Source organism: Homo sapiens, chromosome 4 (assembly GCF_000001405.40).
Source record: "Homo sapiens chromosome 4, GRCh38.p14 Primary Assembly".
Lineage (NCBI taxonomy): Eukaryota > Metazoa > Chordata > Mammalia > Primates > Hominidae > Homo > Homo sapiens.
This window is the reverse complement of record NC_000004.12, coordinates 80448189-80470305: the sequence shown is the minus strand read 5'-3', so window position 1 is coordinate 80470305 and position 22117 is coordinate 80448189. Positions and strand designations below refer to the sequence as shown.

Genomic DNA, 22117 nt, shown 5'->3' with positions numbered 1-22117 from the left:
CTAGGCAACCAAAATTTTGTATACATCATCTTAAACTTGCCTAGTGCTTTGTGTTTACCAAGCATTTTTACATACATTTTCACAATCCATTGTGAGGGATCTGAACATAAGACATTTAGTAACATGTCCAAGGTGGCAGAGGCTGATTCTTGGTTTTCCTGAATACTGTCTAGTGCTTTTCTTCACTACTCTGTGGTACTACAGAAGCATTTTTCATTAGGCAAAAGAGAGGTAGAGAATGAGATAGCTGATGACCACAGAGAGGACACAAAGACATTCCTTCAGCGCAAATGGAGACTTTTCTAGTATTCTTAAGCAGAGTTCTTTTACTCAGTCAAATGATACACCTAGATTTTTTCTTGCTCAATTTTATGTTTTTACTAAGACAAAAAAAGTATGAGGAGCTTGTTTTTAAGGACTCATAAGGTAATTTTTTTTAAAGAAAAAGGATGAAAAGAACCAGGGAAAGGAGCAGGTAAATATACAAGAAGACTTACAATATTAATAGGACTGAGTGTCAAATTCAGCCCCGAGAATCTTAGCAGCCAAAGCAAAAATAACAGCATGATAAATTATAATTCTCATTAATAAAAATGAACAAGGATACCTTTTTCTTGAGCTATAAGACATTTATTCTGGCATTACACTCTTAAAGAAATTTCTCACCTGGTCTTTTGAATTGGAGACCCACAGATAATATTAAATGAGGACCTTTGCTAGTATCCCAACCTGGCATCCTTCTATATATTGTTAGTTTTTGTCAATACTATAATAATTAATATTATATTCATACTAATGCATAATTTTATGTTTTCATACAAAATATCATTTGAATTACATACTGTTAATATCCCCACTTAACAGATGAGAAAACTTAAGACAAATATGAAAATTTAGTAGCTTGCCCAGGGTCACATAAATAGTAAATACTAAATAACTATGTATCCTTTGTTACTCCTAAACCCACTTTCACTTTCAGATAAATACATTGCAGCACACTGGCAGTCAACTCCATGGCCAAAGCCCAGAACAATGGTTGTTGAATGTAAGCAGACATCAGAGTCACCTGGAAGACCTCTGAAAACATATCACAGGGATCCTCCATCAGTTTCTGTTTCAGTAAATCTAAGGTGTGGCCCAAGAATTTAAATTTTTAACAAATTCCCAGGTGATGCTGATGCTGCTGATTAAGGACCACATATTAAGAACCACTGGCCTGGAACTGTAAAGCTTCTAAATATATAGCACATTTAGTAGAGTATTTTTGCCGATTGCTTTTTTTTCTCAGATTTATTTGGCAATGTAGGTCTCTGTAGGTCCAGTTACTAAGAAAAAGAATAATGAAAGAGGAGGAGCCAGGAGACCCCTAGAAATATTATCTCTTCTAAAATCACATTTGCCAATGAGTTTTCTAAAACTAATAACTAATTCTCACTTTGGTTCTTACTGCCTTTTTTTTTTTTTTTTTTTTTGAGACAGAGTCTCGCTCTGTCACCCAGGCTGGAGTGCAATGTGTGATCTTGGCTCACTGCAACCTCTGCCTCCTGGGTTCAAGCGATTCTTCTGCCTCAGCCTCTCTAGTAGCTGGGATTACAGGCAGGCGCCAGCATGCCCGGCTAATTTTTGTATTTTTAGTAGAGATGGGGTTTCACCATATTGGCCAGGCTGGTCTTGAACTCCTGACTTCAAGTGATCCACCCACCTCAGCCTCCTAAAATGCTGGGATTACAGGCATGAGTCGCCATGCCCAGCCTCACTGCCTTTTATTAAAACAACATTATAGGCCAGGTGCAGTGGTCCACGCCTATAATCCCAGCACTTCGGGAGAACAAGGCGGGTGGAACACTTTGAGCTCAGGAGTTGAGACCAGCCTGGGCAACATGGGAAAACCCCATCTCTACTAAAAATACAAAAATTAGCCATGTGTGGTGGTGGGCACCTGTAATTCCAGCTACTCGGGAGGCTGAGGCTGGAGAATCACTTGAACCCAGGAGGCAGAGGTTGCAGTGAGCCGAGGTCAGGCCAGCCAGTGCACTCCAGCCTGGACGACAGAGCAAGATTCTGTCTCAAAAAAAAAAAAAAGAAATTATAACTTTGACATATTTTAATATTTTCTTTGCTCAATCTTACTTTATAAGTAAAAAATCCGGATTACATTTAAGGGCTAAAACAAAACAAGCAAGATTATACCTATGTAGGTATCAACACTTACTTTCTATAAATTTACTTTCATCCACTGATAGGGATGGTTTGGCTCTGTGTTCCCACCCAAATCTCATCTTCAGTTGTAATCCCCATAATCCCCACAGGTCAAGAGAAGGACTTGATGAGAGGTGATTAGATTATGGGGATAGTTTTCCCTATGATGTTCTCGTGATGAGTGAGTTCTCATGAGATCTGATGGTTTTATAAGGGCCTCTTCCCTCTTTGCTCTCTCTTCTTTCTCCTGTCACCAAGAATATCCTTGTTTCCCCTTTGCCTTCCACCATAATTGTAAGTTTCCTGAGATCTCCTCAGCCATGTGGAACTGAGTAAATTAAACCTCTTTCCTTTATAAATTACCCAGCCTTAGGTATTTCTTTATAGCAGTGTGAAAATGAACTAACACATCCACACCTGTATCATAGCACTTAGCATGAATATCTACATTATTTAATTTATATTACATATTCCATACTTGAAGAGCACACGAAAATATTCTTCTTCATATTGAACAAGAGGGACCCAGGTGAAGCTGTGACCTTAGAAGCCTGCCAGGTTGGGGCAAGGCAAGGAATTAAGGAACTCTTTCTTTGAAAAGATTGAGGAGGCGGGTGAGTTTACAATAAAGGTAGAGTGGGGAATGTTGGAAAGAGGAAGGGACTATTCATCTGTAGAGGAAATCTAGAGCAAAATGAAGATGAGTGAAAAAGGGAAATAAGGATTGACAAGCTTTGCATTTTAGGAAGTTGTAAGAATGGTACATCAAGGTATAGACTTAGAACAGCTTTGGCTGCTCTGCTTCAATCACCATCAATAGGCCCAAACCTAGAGAGGGTGGGAATGGGAAAGTCACGATTGATAGCATTTGCCAGTATCAGTGGTGTAAATACTTTCACCTTGACCAATTTCAAGCTGCTAGCAGACAACAAATATGAGAAGTGTCGTGCTCAATTGACTTGCAGGCTTGTGAATGCTGGCTCCAACATACTACTGCTCCAAACCCACCTTAAATGAAAACACAACCTAAGACAAAAAACAACAGGCTTTCTATTTAAACACAGGTTCAAGACCATAGCTCCATAGCCTTCAGCTAAACTATTGAATTTTAAATTCTACTATGTAAAATTGAGAGCCATCTCTCCCCTGTAATTGACAGAGAGGCATGAGATTACCTTTCATCAAGTTTCTCAACAAAACTTTGGCACACAGTTTTCTACCTTTTGGTACTGGCATACATCTCTGCTTGCTCTGACACTATCTATGGCAGTGCAAGGGCCTGACATGATGCAAGATTGCAAAAGCATGGGGTGAGAGGGCATCAATATGGTGGAAAAGATTACTTGAAGTCAGGGGCAGTGCCTATGCCCTGTGCAGATTAAGGAAAACAGGATTCAGGGACTGAGGGATGAAGAATACTGCTTTTGCTGACTCTGTGGTTTGGAGTAGGCTAAAGTTGGCTTCGATGAGACTAGAAGCAAAACAATTCGTCCAAGTGTGGAAGGCTTCCATGGCCATTTTTACCATCGTTTTAGTGCTGGTAAACAGTCCAGAAAAGGACTGTACCTCAAAACTAAGCCCTCAGGTTAAATGTTTTGAAATATGGCTCAAGATACTTTGCACTTATTTTAGATAGCCATGGATATTTGTTTTAAAAAAAGTTTTGAGGGAAACCTTCATAACTCTTCCTTTCTTCAAACATTTATAAGCAATTCCAATAGAATTTTTGGAACCTTAAAATAATCAGTTCTTTGGGTTAAAATAAAGTAACAATGAATACTTAGAGTGTTATTTCCATGACTTATATTTCCTTTTTATAAAAAGGTTCTAGAAAGATCTGGACTCAAAAAGGGCATTTAACTTGTACTTTATGCCATTTTTTACATTTAAGTAGATGCCATTCAGGTCGAAGGTGACATTACATCAAAGCTATTTTGTCCTTGATTATTAACTTATATGCAAAATCAGAAAATAATTTTGTTTTCTAAGGTTACCTGAATTGTTTTCAGATTTAAATTTAAAAATGTCAGCCAGGAGCCTGAAAACCTAGAAATTGCTGCACTTCTCTGGACCTCTGTGAAGATCTCTTTCTTCCCAGAAGTTATGGCTACCGAATGAAAGAAGAGTTTACATTTCTCTGAGTGTGAAATACAGCTTGGGGTTGTCCAGCTGCAATCCTCAGGGTTGTGAATGTTAATCACATGTAGTGTTTATTCCTTCAGCATTCCTTTTCTTGTTGTTTTCTTTGGGACCGTCTGCTTTAGAAACCCAGCTCACGTAGGTTCAATGAAAGAACAGCTCAAAGAGTGTTAAAATGTTGAGGACAAGCTCCAAAATGTGTTGGAAGTTTGTGATTCCTTATGTTTGTGTGTTTGGTCTGTTTGGTTTAGTTTTTTATTGTATGTCATTCTATTTCTCTTTTGGTTTTTTTCTCTTTCACTCTTCCAGGGCATGGGGTACATAGGGGTTTGGGAGGCCAAGGACCTATTTTAATTTCTCATAATATAGCAAGAGTTTTTAGAATGTGCACAAGATGGAAGGCTAGTGAAGAATATAGGAAGTTGTAGCACATGCATGGGTCCCTCACCGCTCCCCACAGTACATAACTGCAGGTTGCTCCTGGGATCTGTGGGGCATTGTGGAATCTGCCTCTATAACCCTCTGCAACCTTCTCCCTCTTGTCTGAGGTGACAAACCCTGCCCTTCTTTTCTCTGGCATTCCAGGGCTCTGAGACTCCTGAACAAAAGGAACCTCACTTACATCACCCTCCTCTCCTGCCAGCTTAGTCTGTAGTTCTGTTTAGAAGTTTTTATTTGATTTGTTTACTTATGAGTTTTCTAGCATTTTTAATTGAGTTATCCAAATTACAGTATCATATAAAGTAGAAATGTCAAATTCTATTTTTCTGTTTTCTTGACTTGCATCTGCTGGGAAGCAGGTTGAATACATACAATGAAAAGGGTAGTAATTTAAAAAAAACAACTGGGATTATTTAATAGGTTCCACACAGAAGAATTATATTCTACACATGCCCAAGAATTATAACATTTATCCTTATATAAATTATAACTAAAATTTGATTAATTCCTTAAAACAAGTAAGCCATGGAAAGTTAATTTTAACTGGAATTATAAAATAATTTATAACTTTAATACCATTCGTAAAGCATTATTCTTATAGAAGAGGAGAAAAATCCTGTCAGAGTAGAATATTAAATAACTTAAAAATAAAAGACATAAAAATATTCACTGAAATTCACAGGATCCTTGTTTTTCTATTAATTAATAATATTCCAGATACTTTTTTAATATAAAGCTCACTAGATGTCAAAATATTATGACAAGGTACAAGAAGCTATAAAATTTCTGGAGTTTACAGGTTGTATGTCATTTGGTCCAACTCACAGAAAGCTGAACACATTTAGAATTTATTAAAATGAATTATTTTAATACTACTAACTTTATCTACAAATGGCAAGAGCAAGAAAGAGTGTGTTTAAAAGGAAAGGTTAGAAAAATAACAGAAGTAAAACAAAAATGAGAAGTTTGCTAGTTTGCAGTTTATTTTTTAAGCCTTTGAAGTTTGGAATCCTGGATGAGATACTCCATCTGTAAAGCTCTGAAATGTTAGAAGCAAAGTTTTAAAAACTGGAAAATTAAAAGACACTCATGGCTATACCAGTTAGCATTTCAATGTTTTGAATGGCCAGTGAATGTCATCTTTTCTTACTTCCAGGTAAAAACATCCATTTTCTTAGTAGAAGCACAAAAGAGTAAAATCCATAGAAAATATAGCATCTAGTTTAATGTGCCTTGAATTATGCAACTGAGTTCCATTTCCTTTAGCTTCAGTCCTAGCAATGTAAGTAAATATTGCAGCAAGCAATTGGCGGTACAGTGATGTTAAGGATCTAGCAAACTTCCACATTTTTGGGGAGTTATAATTTGGTCTTAACATTTGTTTCAGGCTTAAACTTGGCATAGAAGTTCTTGATTGGAGAGTGCATTTAAAAAAAAAATTTACAAAATAAAGTCAAAATGAGTTTTCTTGTTATTTAGTCAAAGACAGCCAAAAATAACATGATTTTGGCTGAATATGGATACTTTTATGCATTTCTATTTAAAATCAGTTTTAACTTTAGAAATGAAATGTTGCAGACTTTTGTGGATAATGAAGAGCGGGTCCAGTTGGCAGAGCTTGAACGTTTGTGCATGTGAAGTTATACATGGAGTAATAATATTTCTTACTTATAGGAAAACATGACTTCAGTGAACTTCCCCTCTGTCTAGTATAATGTTATGGACTGAATTGTGGGCCCCAAAATTCATAGGTTGAAGCTCTAACCACCAATGTGACCTTATTTAGAGATAGGGCCTTTAGGGAGGAAATTATGGTTAAATAAGGTCATAAGGTTGGGACCCGAATCTGATAAGACTGGTACCAATTTTAGAAGAGACCATGTGAGGTCACAGCAAGAAGGCAGCCATCTACAAGCCAGGAAGAAGGTGTCACCAAAAACGAACCCTAACTGCACCATGAACTTGGACGTCTATGCACCAGAACTGTATAAAAATAAGTCTGTTATTTAAGTTACCCAGACTGTGTAGTATTTTGTTACGGCAGCCCAAACAGACTAATACATATAATATATGAAGAACTAGAAGGACCTAGGATCATTTCAACTAAATATTTATATGTAATCACATTAATATCATTTTTTGTTCATAAAATTCTTCACAGAGGATCCTTTGATGATATGTTCTTTCTTTGTGTAATTTTGCAGCATTCATTCTTAACTGACTCATTCTCATGTAGTGTTTTTTAAAATAGCCATTTGCTATAGGTGATTTTTAAAGTATTTCTCTTCTTGAGTGTTTAGGCTGATGTTTCCTTTGTTTTATAAAAGTTTTAATAAGTCTTGTGTTAAAAAGACATTAAAATTAAAAAAAAAAATCATTTTATTTGATTGAATGTTGCCCAGAAACAGGTTTTAGAGTTTTCTTCTGCCCCAATCACTGTTTTGGGGAAGCAGGCAATTTCTTTTCAAATATTTGCAACTACAAAACAAGACGATGTTCATAGTTCTCATTCTACTTTCAGTTTCATTTGGGTATTCATCTAGTCCTGATTCTGTTGTCTTGAGGGGTCAACTTCTCCTGTCCTGCCCTTACTATCTCATTCTCCAATATTCTAGACTGAAGTAATATGATTTTTTTTAAAAATCCCCTAAAATTTCCTATATATGCTGTTATTAGGACTTTGTCATTCATTGAGGAAAAAAACTAGAAAGAGGAAGAAGTTTTGCTGAGTAATAGACTAATGAGGGCCCTTTGGGACATGTTGAATTTGAAGCATCTCCAGATCACCCATCTCTGGATCACGTGGTTTGGTAAACAGATCTGAAGCTGGGCAGAGGTTTGAGCTGTTGTAAATTGGAAAAGCAAGGGTGGGATGAGATCACTTAGAATCTATGAAGACATAAGAAAGCAAATGAGTATGACTAGCAATTAATAGGCAAATAGATGGGGGTGGGGAAGGGATAGGGAGATAAAACCCAAACTCTGTGTCAGAGAAACATATTGGGGTGGAGGTGGGGAGTGACAACAAAATTGTATTTGTCAGAGAAAGACCTGAGGAGTGCTGGTTTAGCTTTTTATTAACTACAAAGTCTTTGTTGACGTTAGCAAGAACAGCTTAGTGGGGCAATGGGGACATAAGTCTAGCTGTGGTGGGTAGAGGAGTAGATTACTATAGTCTGCTCCGCCAGAATGGTTGCTCATGAAAGGAAGATAAATACAGCAGGAGCTAGAGGAGTATAAAGGTAGAGGGAGGTTTATTTACTTCATTTATTTTTTAATAAGAAGAGAATTGACTGACTATATACTAAGGGGAAAGTGTCAGTGAAAAGGAAGATGTTGAAAATACAAGAGAGAAAACGCATTTATCTTCTCATTTGAGACTATGGTTTTGAATGCCCATTTGTCTTGTACTGCACTAAGTGTTGGGGATCCAAGGTTGGATTAAATTAGCATGGTTACTGCCCTTTGGGAATCCCAGGATGGCCAAAGGATTTAGATTGGTAAATGAGATTAGAATCCAAGCGGAGTCATAAGCCTCAAGAAGAAGGAGAATGAGTTCCTCCATGGAACTGGGGTAAAGTGGTCATGATGAACACAGACATGTTTATAGATGGAGGGAAGTGGGCAGGAGTTTGAGGAAGTTCATACTTCAAGGTCTTTTCTAATTCTGTGATATAGGATGCAAATCCATATGTCCAAGTGAGGAAGTTCATAGTGAAGTGCAAAATAATAATTGAAGAAAATGAGAAAATGAAGCATTATGAAATACAGGATGATCCCTGAATATAACTGGTAAACCACCTAAAGTTTGTAAACCAAAAATAACATTCTAAGCACCTCAACCAACTGAATGGACCACTCCCTTAGCCAAGGGCATTCTAAAGTAAACCTGAAAAACTAGTTCAGGCCATAATGGGAATGGGTGCTCAGACATGCCTCATTATACATTCCTCCCTTGGGAATTCAGGCGCAGATGACCAGCAATTAACACTAAAACAGAGACCTTAAGGCTGACCAAACACTCCTTAGCAGTAAGATACCAACATGACAGACAGCAGGCCCTGAAAGAAATCTAAGTATTTTACCCCAATATATTTTGCCCAAAATATATTTCTTTGACATATCCAGACAGCAGACCCTGAAAGAAATCTAAGTATTTTATCCCAAAATATATTTCTTTGACATATTTTGAAATGGCCCTGTAAAGCTGTCTCTTGTGGGGAAAATCTACGTTCTGTAGAGAACCTCCTTTCTTTTTCCAGGTCTCTTCTTTGATCCAAGAGAGAATTAACTAAGAGTCTGGTATCTTTTTAGTTCTGCTAAGAGCTCTAACGCCTGCTACCTGGAGGCTTCATCTGCATGAAAAGACCAAAATTTCAGTCTCCACACCCCCTTATATTAACCTAGACATTCCTTTCTGTTGATTCCGGGTCTTTAGATAATAACTCTTTCAACCAATTGCCCATCAGAAAATCTTTGAATCTACCTATGACCTGGTAGCCCTTCCCACCTTTCTGGATCAAACCAATGTACATCTTACATGCATTAATTGATGCCATATGTCTCCCTAAAATGTATAAAATCAAGCTGTAGCCTGACCACCTTGGGCACATATTGTCAGGATTTCCTGGGGCTGTGTTATGAGCCATTGGTCATTCATATTTGGCTCAGAATAAGTCTCTTCAAATATTTTACAGAGTTTGACTTTTTTCTTTGGCAAGTTGAAGGTGGTAGATTTTGGGACAAATCCACATAATCGTGTGAATTTCTCCTTATATTCAATGGCAAACCAAGTATGAAAGAGAAAAGGCAAAGAATTGGATTTATCTTTGGTTACAATAACACTAGCTACACTAACAAACTTAGAAATATCAGTGGTTAAACACAACAGAATATTATTTCTTACGCATAAAAAAATCATCAACTAGTAATCGGATTGATTCCATGAAGGCAGTTAGGAAGCCATTAGTGAAGTTTTGGCCATCTTCAGCATGCAACTTTCATGAACATTTTGGGTGCTGTCATTCAGCAGATGAGGGGAGAAAGTGCAGGGTCTGGCCAGAGGTTGATAGCACATATAACTTTAAAAAAATTTCACCCCAAAATATATAATATTTGTTTGACATATTTCAAGATAGCTATTTAGAGTCTAAAAACACAAGAATAGCTAAAAGGTTGCCTTTTGTGAAGATTTGCATCTGTAGAGAAAAATCTGCATTGGTGAAATAAACAGCCAAGCTTTCCCTGGCACACCGGCTCCCCCTACCCCTCCTACCCCAAACTCCAGTGTCCAGATATAGGAAAGATTGGCTTGTGGAAGAGAGAGAATGAGAGTCTGACACTTTCAGGAGTCTGACAGAAACTTACTTTCTGAGCACTGCTACCTGTGAGGTTTCATCTGCATAACAAAACTGCCTTTGCCAGCTAAGGCCTCTCTTCTTCTCTCTCTCACATCACTTGTCTTGCCATGCTTCAAGCCCCTATTCTTTCTGTAACCTCAAGATGGTATAAAAACATCAACCATCTGGTTCTTTAAATTTTCATATTTTGTATAACTTCCATACACACCCTTGCATATTAATAAATTTTATGGCTTTTTCTATTAACCTGCCTTTTGTCAGCTGATTTTCAGTGAACCTTCAGAGGGCAAAAGGGAAGTTTTTCCTTGGCCTCTACAGTTTTGGTGCTGTGAGCAACACAATCACAACCACCCTGCTCTTTTGGAAGCCACAGTCAAGGGAACTCTGGACCTAACAAGCTGGCAGAAGGGTAAGAATTTCATACCAGTTAGATTTCCAGATGTCTGGTTGTGGAATCTGGTTGAGCTGATGGTAAAAATCAGTTTTTCTGTTTTTTTTCTTCATTAAGTTTAATATTGTTAGTGGCAGTGAATTTGTACAGGTCTACAGCAACCTGAATTCTTGCCTCGTCAGAAGAAAGAATTTGACTGAGGGGCATAAGGCAGAAGGAGAGACCAAGGCAAATTTTAGAGCAGGAGTGAAAGTTTATTAAAAAGCTTTAGAGAAGGAATGAAAGGAAGTAAAGTACACTTGGAAGAGAACAAGTGGGTGACTTGAGACATCAAGTGCACTGTTTGACCTTTGATGTGAGGTTTTACATGTTGGCATACTTCCGGCATCTTGCATCCCTTCTCCCCTGATTCTTCCCTTGGGGTGGGCTGTCTGCATGTGCAGAGGCCTGCTAGCACTTGGGAGAGTTTGTCTTCATAAGAAGCCTGGCTGGATGCAGTGACTCATGCCTGTAATTCTAGCACTTTGGGAGGCCTAAGTGGGAGGACTGCTAGAGGCCAGGAGTTCAAGATCAGCCTGGGCAACATAGGGAGACCCTATCTCTACAAAAAACTAAAATTGTTTTAATTAGCCAGGGCACGGTGATAATGCACCTGTAGTCCTAACTGTTAGGGAGGCTGAGGTGGGAGGATCTATTAAGCCCAAGAGTTTGAGGTTGCAGTGAGCTGTGAGTGCACCACTGCACTCCAGCCGGAATGATAGAGCAAGACCCTTTCTCTAAAAGATATTCATTAAAAAATTAAAAATTAAAAAAAAAGAAGTCCCATCCGCAAAGAGCTTTAATTGTCTCAACCAGGCTTGCTGCCTGGTTTTAGTCCTGGGAAAGTTCAATCCCAGGAGGGCCTACTCAGTGCCATAGATGAACAGATCTGTTATTGGGATACTGAAGACCCTGAACAAACAAACTGCATCCTTAATGGTCTGGGGCATTCGAAACCTTGCTATTTTAGCCTATTTCTGGGATTGAATTTTTGGGGAGATCCTGGAGGGGAAGGCTGCATCTTCTGTGCCCATTTTTAAAATGTCACATCCATAGTATTCTAAACCTGGAAAGTTACTTTTGGGACTTTCCATGCAGAAGTCTTATTTGGCTTGAATCACTAATAAAATAAATAAATTGGCTATATTTAAAAGAAAATGTTTTAGAGAGCTCTTGTCTTAAACAACCATCTTATAAATATAAAAAATACACAAAGAATACAGCCTTAGAAGCTCCCTTGGTGAGATTTTTTTAAAAAGGCAGAAAAAAGATTTTTTCAGAAATAAGATTTTTTTAAAAGTTAAAAACCTTTGTACACTCATATTGCCTGCCTTGGATCCCCTGTGGGATTTGCAAAAAGGCACTCCAGCCTGTAGTCCAGTAGCTGGCATTTGGCATGCGCCGCAGCCTGGGTTCCATTCCCAGACACGGAACTAGATTCTTCAAGATATAACTCCTTTAACTCAGGAAGAAAAAGAAACATTTGTAAAAATTAGTTTGAATTATTTGTTTTAAATGTATATTCATGTGACTCTTGAATTTTGGGGGCGCCCATTTGTTATTGATCCTTTTCCTTTCCATGAAGAGCTATTGTTTTTCCATTTTTCCCTGAGTCTCTCTTTCTTTTTTTTCTGGAGTATAAACGGGCTAAAAACTGAGCATTCAGAGCTGTGAGAATCAAAAAAATGGTGAAGGATGACAGCACTGAGAGTGACAAGTAAAACTAAGATCCAGGTGCCAAAGTTCTTGACAAAAACAAGAGATGGATTAATATGCCACAGGATAGAAATGGACGTCGGGAGTTAAGTCTCAAAGTAGAAGGCAGATTTTTACTGGAAAATGCAGAAGTAACGTTTCAGAAAATCAACAGTGAGCTACAAGCCCGGCAAAACATGGATAAATAAGTAGTCTCTATTGTAGATGGCTCCTAGAAAAATTATATCCTTGGCAGAGGGGGTTGGGGGACAGCTAGTTTCAGTTACAGCAAACGAACTGCATGGAGCATCCCATGAAAAATGAATGCTACAGTAGCATGTGGTTATAGAAGTCCCGAAAAACATCTTAAAATGCTCCAAGGTCAAGAAGAAACAGGCAAAATAGTGTTGGCTCAGGAGAGAAACTCTGACTACCAACCTTGGATTTTATAGCAATAGATTAGGAATCAATGGGAAGAATGAGAGAGATGAAAGTATCAAATAGATCTTTTACACATAAATTTGTTCCGGTGTCTTCTAAAAGTCACAGATGAATGGCATTTCTTGCCTCCATTCACATGGGCCATGGAAGCTGAGGGCTGCTCCTGTGACACATCCAAAGCACAGAATCTGTGGCACATGGCCTCACCCTCCATAACATAACATGATAACCTATTTGACTCTCTTCCCCACTTAAGGAAATTACCAAAAATAACTTTCCAACATGGCTCAATAATAATTTCAAGTTGATGTTATTAGGACGTAGGCTAATAACAAAGATACTTATTCAACTTCCCATATGATTTTTTTGTTGTGGAAAACGCTGCCTGCGGATCATCAATTGTTGTAATTCTTGTCCTTCAATTTAGTGGTTAATGGAATAGTTTATTTATACCCTACTTCAAAGTTGTATTTGAAGTGGCTACATTTTGGCATAATGCAAACTACTTGTGCTGTAAAAGTCTTCCATTTTTACATGTTCTCATGGTCTCTTTAATAATATAAATATTACCACTACCTATTTGCAGACAAAAACATCTGCGTTAAAAAAAAAAAAAAGCATTTGGAATGACTGATCTCCTCTTCCTCAAAATACTTTCCTCTGTTGGTATCCACAACACCGTAGCCTTTGTCTTCCTGGCTAAACCATCTCTAGCTCTGCCAGTTAGCTCTTCCTCATCTGTCAAACTTCTATGCATTGGAGTGTTGCAGGACTCATTCCTTGGAACTCTTTTCTATTTTATTCATTTACATGATTACATGCATGAGTCACAGATTAATGTCTCCAACCCAGACCTCTCCACTGAACTCCAACATGGTTATCCAACTGCCCTCTACATCTTTACTTGGATTTCTTCATGGTATCTCAAACTTGCTACATCTAAAATACAAACTCCAGATTCCAATCCTCCATGTATCCTTCTCTTATGGTCTATTTCATTCTCTATGTACTCAGGTAAAACCAAAGTCATCCTTGAGTCATCTTCTTCCTCATATCTCATATTCAAACCATCAGAAAATTCTTCCTGTTCTATCTTCAAAATATACCCAGAACCCAGACATCCCTCAGCACTTCCACCACTGTTATCATCCTAGTCCAAGCAGAACTTCCCCTTGCTTGGCTTATTACAAAGCCTCTCGCTGCTCTCCCTGCTTGCCTTCTTGTTCTCACTACAAACTATTCTTATTATAGCCAGAGGGAGATCCCTTTATATCAGATATCTGGACACTCCTCTGAGCAAAGCCCTCTAATGTCTTCATATCTCAAAAGTGAAAGGTACATTATGTCTTGCCATGAAGCTGCTCCACTCCCTTTATTTCTCTGGCCTCATTTTCTTTAAATCATCCCACTCCAGCCACACTCACCTCCTTGCTGTGTCCAAGCATGGGGTTTGGCTTTTCCTAACTATCTCATGGCTTGCTACCTTAGTTCATTAAGCTTTTTGCTCAAATGTCATCTTCTAAATAAGGCCTTTCTTGATCATCCTCTTTAAAACTACAACCCCACCCTAGCATCACCTTATCTCCTTTTCCTGCTTTATTTTTCTTCAAAGAATTTATGACCATCTATCATAGCATATCTTTTTTTTTATTTCTTTATTGTCTACCTTCCCCAACTAAAACATAAGCTCTGTGGATACATGGATTTTTTGTATGTTTTGATCACTACTGTATTCCTTGGTGCTTAATGACAGATATACAGTAGGTGCTCAATCAACACTAGATAATGAATGGGAAGAGCATAATTTATTAACATGTGAGTCATTGAATATTATAAACTGGTGACTGCCAAAATTCTTATCTGAAAATATTAACTTGAAAACCTTAAAGGTATTTTAAGAAGATACATGGTCTCTTGAGCTACATGCTACAAAATGAAATAGGTCACTCAATATCTTTTTTTTTTCACTCTCTACAAATTATCTTCAACTTCACTGTTCTTACTTTTGAATCTCTTCATTCCATCTATCTTTTTATAAATCCTTGTGTGCTCATTCTTGCTCTCAAAGTATTGCTTTGGCATAGTATTCTGTCCTAGTTTTTAAGAATATCAAATAAAATGTAAAAGTAAGGAGTGGAGTGGAGGGAGTTTATTAATATGTATGCAAAAATTCCTATATAATTCGAATAAGTATCTGTTTCATTTGTGCCCGTGAAACTGCCTTGACTAAAATTATAACAGTGAGAAAATTATGACAGTGAAAGAGACCTGACCTAACTGAATCCATCTTGGTTTTAACCTTGTTCATTCCTGGGTGTAGGCGAAACTAATTTTGGGAGGAACTTAGTTTATAGTTTAACTTTGAAACAAAAATGATAAGAGCCCTTTCCTGAAACAAACCCCCTTCTTGCCTGGGGACCAGACTGCCTTTGAAAGCCTAAGAAATTAGCCAGAAGATTAGAAATTATGGCTTAGGAGTTGCACAGCTAGAGGCCTCAAGATTTGAAACCTTGCTATCTGCTCCTAGGGGTAATATCATATTGTAAAACCTAAAATTGGTGCTTACGATATTTTTCAGACCCTGCACTCAGATCAGCTAGTGTCACCCAGATCAATAAACTGGCTCATCTGGTCTTGTGGCCCCCACACAGGAACTGACTTAGTGCAAGAGGCTTCAACTCCCTATGATTTCATCTCCAACCGGACCAGTCAACACTCCCCACTTCCCAACCCCCTACCCACCATGTTATCCTTAAAAACCCCAGTCTCTCAGTTTTCAGAAAGACTAATTTGAGTAACAATAAAACTCTGGTCTCCTATACAGCTGGCTCTGTGTGACTTAAACTCTTTCTCTCTTTCAATTCCCCTCTCTTGATAAACTGGCTCTGTCTGGGCAGCAGGCAAGAAAAACCTGCTGAGTGGTTACACCTGTGTGTACATTTATGGGCATTTTTAATGTCTATATTAGGTTTTCTTATGTTTCAATTTCCTCAAATGTCTGCCAAACCTTAGTTATCTTTACATATTTAGGAACAAGGCAATGAGAACCTAATTATATGGGCATGTGTGCCCGAGTGCTGGTGGGATTTTTTGGGGGTGAGCTGGTTCTCATGCCCAAGGACTCCTATATTCCAGAATTTGAGGTATTTGCTCTGGGCACCAACTTCAATACCAGCTGTCCATGTTCAATCCAGGCAGTCACTTTATCTGAAGACATGAACCTTCCAATATTTTGCCTAAATAATGTTCGCTGGTAGATATCTTGTTCACCATGTGAATCATAGGATTGTTGCGACCTCTGTCTATAGATTTCTAATGTCCTTGTTTTTCAACTCATGATTCACTTATGCTTTTCATCATACCTGGCATTCCTAAGTCTTGAGTCTCTCCAGGCAGCAAAGAAGATCACCTCCTCCCAGACTCTGGCCACTCTATCCTGCACCTTCCAATACCTCTCTCAAAACTGCTTTCTGCCTGCCAGAAAATTGCAAAAATTGTCAACCACTAACAGTCACCTCACATTATCTTCATTATGGAGTGTTTATACATTTTTTAAGCCTTGAAACTCAGGGGTCTGAGATGGTAAAGGACATAACAACACGTGATCAGTATGCTATCTTAAACCAATAATTTTCTCAGACCTTTAAAGCAACTATAAAGCTAAAATGCTAATGAATTACTAAATGGAAATGTGAAAATCACGCTTGCAAGATTATTATTATTATTATTATTATTATTATTATTATTATTATTATTATTTGAGACAGGGTCTCATTCTGTCACCCAGGCTGGAGTGTAGTGGTGAGATCTTGGCTCACCACTACCTCCACCTCCCAGACTCAAGCGATTCTCCTGCCTTGGCCTTCCGAGTAGCTGAGATTACAGGCACGCGCCAAGAAGCCTGGCTAATTTTTGTATTTTTAGTAGAGACGGGGTTTCACCATGTTGGCCAGGCTGGTCTCGAACTCCTGACCTCAAATGATCCACCCACCTCAGCCTCCCAAAGTGCTGGGATTACAGGCGTGAGCCACCATACCAGGCCACACGATTATTTTTAAGGGATAATTTGAAGAATGGGTATATGAAAAAAATTAAATTATTTAAAGCATTTCAGAAGCTTGTTAAAATTTACATTACCATGCCACACTACTAATTAAATTAGGGGTTATAAGACAGGATACATACACACTAAAATTTAAGAAGAAATAAAAGAATGATAAATGAGAACTCATGTCTTAGTTTGAATATTCGTAAAGGGATTTTAAATATCTCTACCTGAATACTCAGAGAAAACTCTGTTGCTTATTAAAAACCAAAATGTTTGTGATATGCAAGTCTCGGTAAACAAAAGCATGATCTTTTCCAATATGTTTTATGATTCTAAAAACTTTCCTTAAATATAAAAAAAAGGGATTGAGTTCTCACTGCTTACTTGACAGCCCTGCAGAATAATAGGAGAGTGCACATTATGTCAATCATATGAAACGTGATAATGTTGCAGTTTCTATGAGACTTACTCAAGGTTTTGGTTGACTCTCCAAGTCAGGCACGTTAATAACCTGTGACAATTTTAGTTTCTACTCTGCTCTCAATCCCTGTGCAAACACCAGGGGCTGCTTTAAACATTCAAAGTACAAATGCATCATCATGGCCATCTGTTTTTACTCCCATTTCTCATGATGTCTCTGACTTAACTAATGCAAACATCATTTTAAAAGTAATCATCATCAGAGTAGTGTGAATTGTTTTAAGTTAAATTCACATCTCTGAAGATGACTAATGGAAAACATCAATGCGGACGGATGTTTTCATTTGGGGAAATGTATCATATCCTTCAAACAAATCCCATAATCTACCCCCACAATTTCTACTGCTTAACAAAGTAATCAAGTAAAATATAATAATTTAATTGTATTATTTTTCCAACTTACTGTACCACATTGTTCTCATTCAGCTTGGTTTGACATCCCTTTTAATGTTAACTCTATTAACAATAGTGGCTTTAGCTCCAAAAGGCATTGAATTTCTATCATCTAAAATATACCAACCATCAGACTATTTTGTAAGTCTTTACCCAAATAGCAGTATGTTAACCTAACTTAGCTAGTTCTATACAGGATACCCATGGCCTTTGCAAACCTAAGAGAGCAATAAATTCTCTGAAGAAATTCTAAAAGCAATACTCTTCTCTTGCTCAGAAATGGCAGTAGCCAGAAAAAAACTAATTTGAATTCTCATGTCCTATAATTTATGGGTTGGGTGGATATCAAGATGAACAAATAGGGAATGAAATGAATACCTGAAGGCCTGTTGGTCGTAACAGAATGATGTAATGGATTGAAAGACACCGAGAGAGTCAGGCAAAGCCTACATGTTCCTTTAATGTAAGTAAAGGATTCAGGTTGCAACATTTTACTATATACACCAAATATGACCTGGCAGCACTCTGAGGTAGAGGTCAGGCTTCCCTGCCTCCAGGCCCCATAAAACATTCACTACCAGGATAATGTCTCTTTGGGGTGAAGATCTACTGTAGCCTTCAGGAAATTACCTTTATATTTCTACTAGTGGATTTATACATTCCCATCAACTGTTCCAAACTCAAGTAATGTGCCTACCTGCCAGTAGCTACAAGTTACAAGGTAACAATCTTAGCACATACCCTAGTGTTTACTATAGGACCTAGTGAAAGTCAGCTTCCCAGGAACAATTTTCTACAAACCAGACTCAGGCTTTAGATTTAATGGAATCTAATCTTTCACTGAATAATTATCAGCTCAGTGTTCAATCTTAAATTGAGCTCCATCTTGCCAATAGCATAGTTTGTTTAGAGTAATGTGTGAAGGTAAGGAGAAGACTGAATTAATCTAACCCATCTATCATTGTAACTTCCATTTAATTGTGTAAAACAGCCAAAAGAGGAAAGGAAATGAATCTATTATGTTGTCAAAAGATTCAAAGGAAACTTTAAATCAAGCATTAAGAAACTTAAGTGAATTTAGTTATTTTCAGTAGATAATACCATACTGTGTACTAGACAAAACTGTTTCACTTATCAGTACTGAATAATATAAAAATCTTTACTACATTGAGAAAATAAGCTCAATTAATTTTTAATAAGCTCTTATAGTGTACTCAGTTGCACTGATAGACCCCTATATTTTGAGCTGAATTCTGTCCTCTCAAAATTCATGTGTTTGTTGATGTCCTAACCCCAAAATGTGACTGTACTTGGAGATAGGACATTCAAAGAAGTAATTATTAAATAAAGTTGTAAGGGTGGGCCCTAATCCACTCTGACTGGTATTCTCATAACAAGAGAAAATTTGGACACACAAAGAGATATCAGCTATGTGCTTGCACAGAGGAAACACCACCTGAGGACACAGCAAGGAGGCAGCCATCCATCTGCGAGCCAGTGAGAGAGGCCTCAAAAGGACCAACCCTGCTCATACCTTGATCTTGGACTTCCAGCCTCCAAAACAGTAAGAAAATACATTTCTGTTGCTTAAGCCACCCACTCTGTGAGATTTTGTTGGCAGTCCTAGCAAGCTAATACCACCCTTATTCACTCAACAGATATTACCTGAATGTGATCATAGGCTGGATGGCTGCTACCTACAGGGCTGGGTACAAAATTGTTGAGAGGCCCCTCCTCTCACACACCCAAATGCTCTCTCTCTCTCTCTCACACACACACACACACACACACGGTATTAATCCATTATTTTTTAAATTCTTGCCTAACTCTGCTTGAGCAATGAATGTACTTCAGTATAAAGAAGTGCTCTGATTATATTTATTTCATTAAGTTGAAAATAATATTTTAACAACTAGGATTTTATTATACTCATCAGTTTTTAAAATCTCTTTTAATGTGAAATATAGTTCTATGGACAAACTTTGACATATATGAACATCTCAAATATTCAGAAATACTGTATTTCTGAATTCCAGAGTTTAAAAAGAATTCTTCATGTAAATCTTGTATGCTTTCCTGCAACCTAAACTAACCTAACCATCAGTGCACAAAGATATTTAGTATTTTTAATATTTCCCTAGTATTTCATTTGTTTCAGGTATTCCTTTACCACTTTAAATATTTTATTCCTAGTACTTTGATTTAGAGCTTCTTTGGAACAAATAATATTCTTCCAAGCATTTCTCTTCAGGGATTCTAAGCAATGTGATATTAAGTGAGCATAGTTATTACTTCTGTGGAGTCATCTATCTGCAATGAAAACTTCTTGATGTATTAATCTTCTGAACTCATGGTGCCTCGATTATATTTGGCACATATATCAATGCATTTATTAATAGTACTTTTTGAAAGGGAGAACTTTTCAATTCTCTTTCCTTCTTTGGTATCAAAGACATACATAGGCTGGTAAAATTAACAGTTCGCAGTTATATGAGGTATCTTGTTTTGTTTTGTTTACCCCTGGCTTTAGTCATTAATCCTCCACTGAGTTTTTTCAGTCAATTTAACACTGTTATAAGCAATCTCAAAATAATGCTTGGAAAAACATTGTGCCAATATAGATTACTTTGCTCCACTGCCTTACTGCATAGCTTTTCCAAGAAGATAGGACACTTAGGCAGAGGAAGAGAGAAATTACTGGAGCACAAAATAAGTAATTTGAGCTATTTCCCATTAGGTAGTTCAATTAGTGATGATGAATTTCATCTTGTGAATTAGATAACTTTCTAGCTTTGAGAAAGAAGTTGTACATTTTGGTGAGAAAATAATATTTATAAATATTAAATAAAATTAAACATAAAGTACTTAAGGAGATTATGGACCTTTCTGGCTTCAGAAAATTAATTTCTTAAAGTGTTCTTTCTAGGTTTTGGCATTCTTAGAAATGATACAAAACAGTCATAAAAAATTCAGAAATTAATTATATGGATAGTAAAATGGAAAATATTAATAAATTATTCATTATAATTCTAGAAAACTGAGAAAATATAAATATAACATGATCATAATTTAAAACGTTTTTTAAGAATGAAATTCTTGAATGTATTAAGCATATAATTCCCTTTGACAAAATGGTTAAGTGTTGTCCAGCTATTATGTGTTTTAGAAATAAACCCTCTAAACCTTGAAGTAAAAAAAAATGAAATTCCATCAAGAATCAGACTTGACTAATTGTTAATAACAACAGTTAATAAAGAAATAAGAAAAGATAGAATGAAGGTTGAGATAATAAAGAAAATAGTTCTGTTATTTATAAATAACTAATAAGTGATTAATAATAAAATTTAAAATGAAATAACAATGTGAAAATTCAGAGCAAAATAATTTCTAAGAAAAACTTAAGATTTTTAGTTGTACTTACATATATAATATTTCATCTCTATCCACAAAACATGGTGATTCAAATAATAGTCACACTGAAGCAGAAAAGTGAGCAAAAACTCTCCATGCCATTATTGAAACTTTGCCTAAAAATCAAAACGAAATACAGAAATGCATGTAGTACATGCATTTGGCTTGTTGGGATACAAGACCATCCGCAAAAGTATTTGGTATAATTTGTAAAGTGTGGCAGAAGAAGATGTAGAACTCCTGTCTTGACCTTAATCTCCAAGAAGTACATTAACTACTTTGCCTGATGCTTTTAATTAGGTTCTGCCCATGAGGAGGTAGGAGATTAGATGGCCACTTGGGATATATTTCTGTCCCAAGATCTATAACTACCTCATCATCTGCAGCACCAAGCACTTTCATTTAGAAAAATGTTTGGTAAGTTTCTATATTGCATATGTCATAATTTCATTAGGATATTCTTTTTCTAAAACCCTGCAATTTGAATCCTAAGAATTACTTGAAGCTGAAAATAAAGTATTATACCTGTTGAAATTGAGTTCAGAGATGTGGTTTTTTTTTTATTATGTTCAATGTCACTAACACCTAAACACAGCAGAAAACTCTGTGCTCTCAGCCTTAAGTACTGGTGATTGTACCAATTTTCAGAGAGGATCTAGATCTCTTAGTAAGAGAAGAAAAAAGAACTTTTCTAAGCATTTATGTTAAAAGAAAATTTAAGGTTTAATAGAGTTAGTGGCATAATAGAGCTGGTGGCATTTTCAATATCATATTTATATAATAAGAAAATACAAATGGATATTTACCACTAAATAGTATTATATTAAATAGCATCCCAAAGATAGACTCAAATAACCATATAATTAATTTTAACACCTTCAGAAAACTTCTCAAACTTACTATTGTATAAATAGGATGATGATTATAGTTTGTGATCAGATGAATACTAGCAGGAACTAGGCATTCTTAAATGCTAAGTAATACTGAATCAGCAGTCACCCATATAGCTCCTAAGATTTTCTGACATTTTCAACACCAGACACAACCCAGCTGCTGACATGTACCATGGAGTGCACTAAA

At 36.9% G+C, this 22117-nt stretch overlaps 1 protein-coding gene across 7 annotated transcripts in view; it reads right to left on the bottom strand.

Moving 5' to 3' along the window:
- Window positions 1–22117, bottom strand: part of CFAP299 (cilia and flagella associated protein 299) — a 642486-nt gene that overhangs the window by 493445 nt on the left and 126924 nt on the right. The window contains exon 1 of one of the 7 annotated variants that reach the window (XM_047449977.1): window positions 21048–21365. The exons of the other annotated variants lie outside the window; for them this stretch is intronic. Coding sequence (XP_047305933.1) covers window positions 21048–21049 — 2 coding nt within the window. The 5' untranslated portion in view covers window positions 21050–21365. Of the gene's footprint in view, window positions 1–21047; window positions 21366–22117 lie in introns of those variants that run through there. 7 annotated transcript variants of the gene reach the window in all.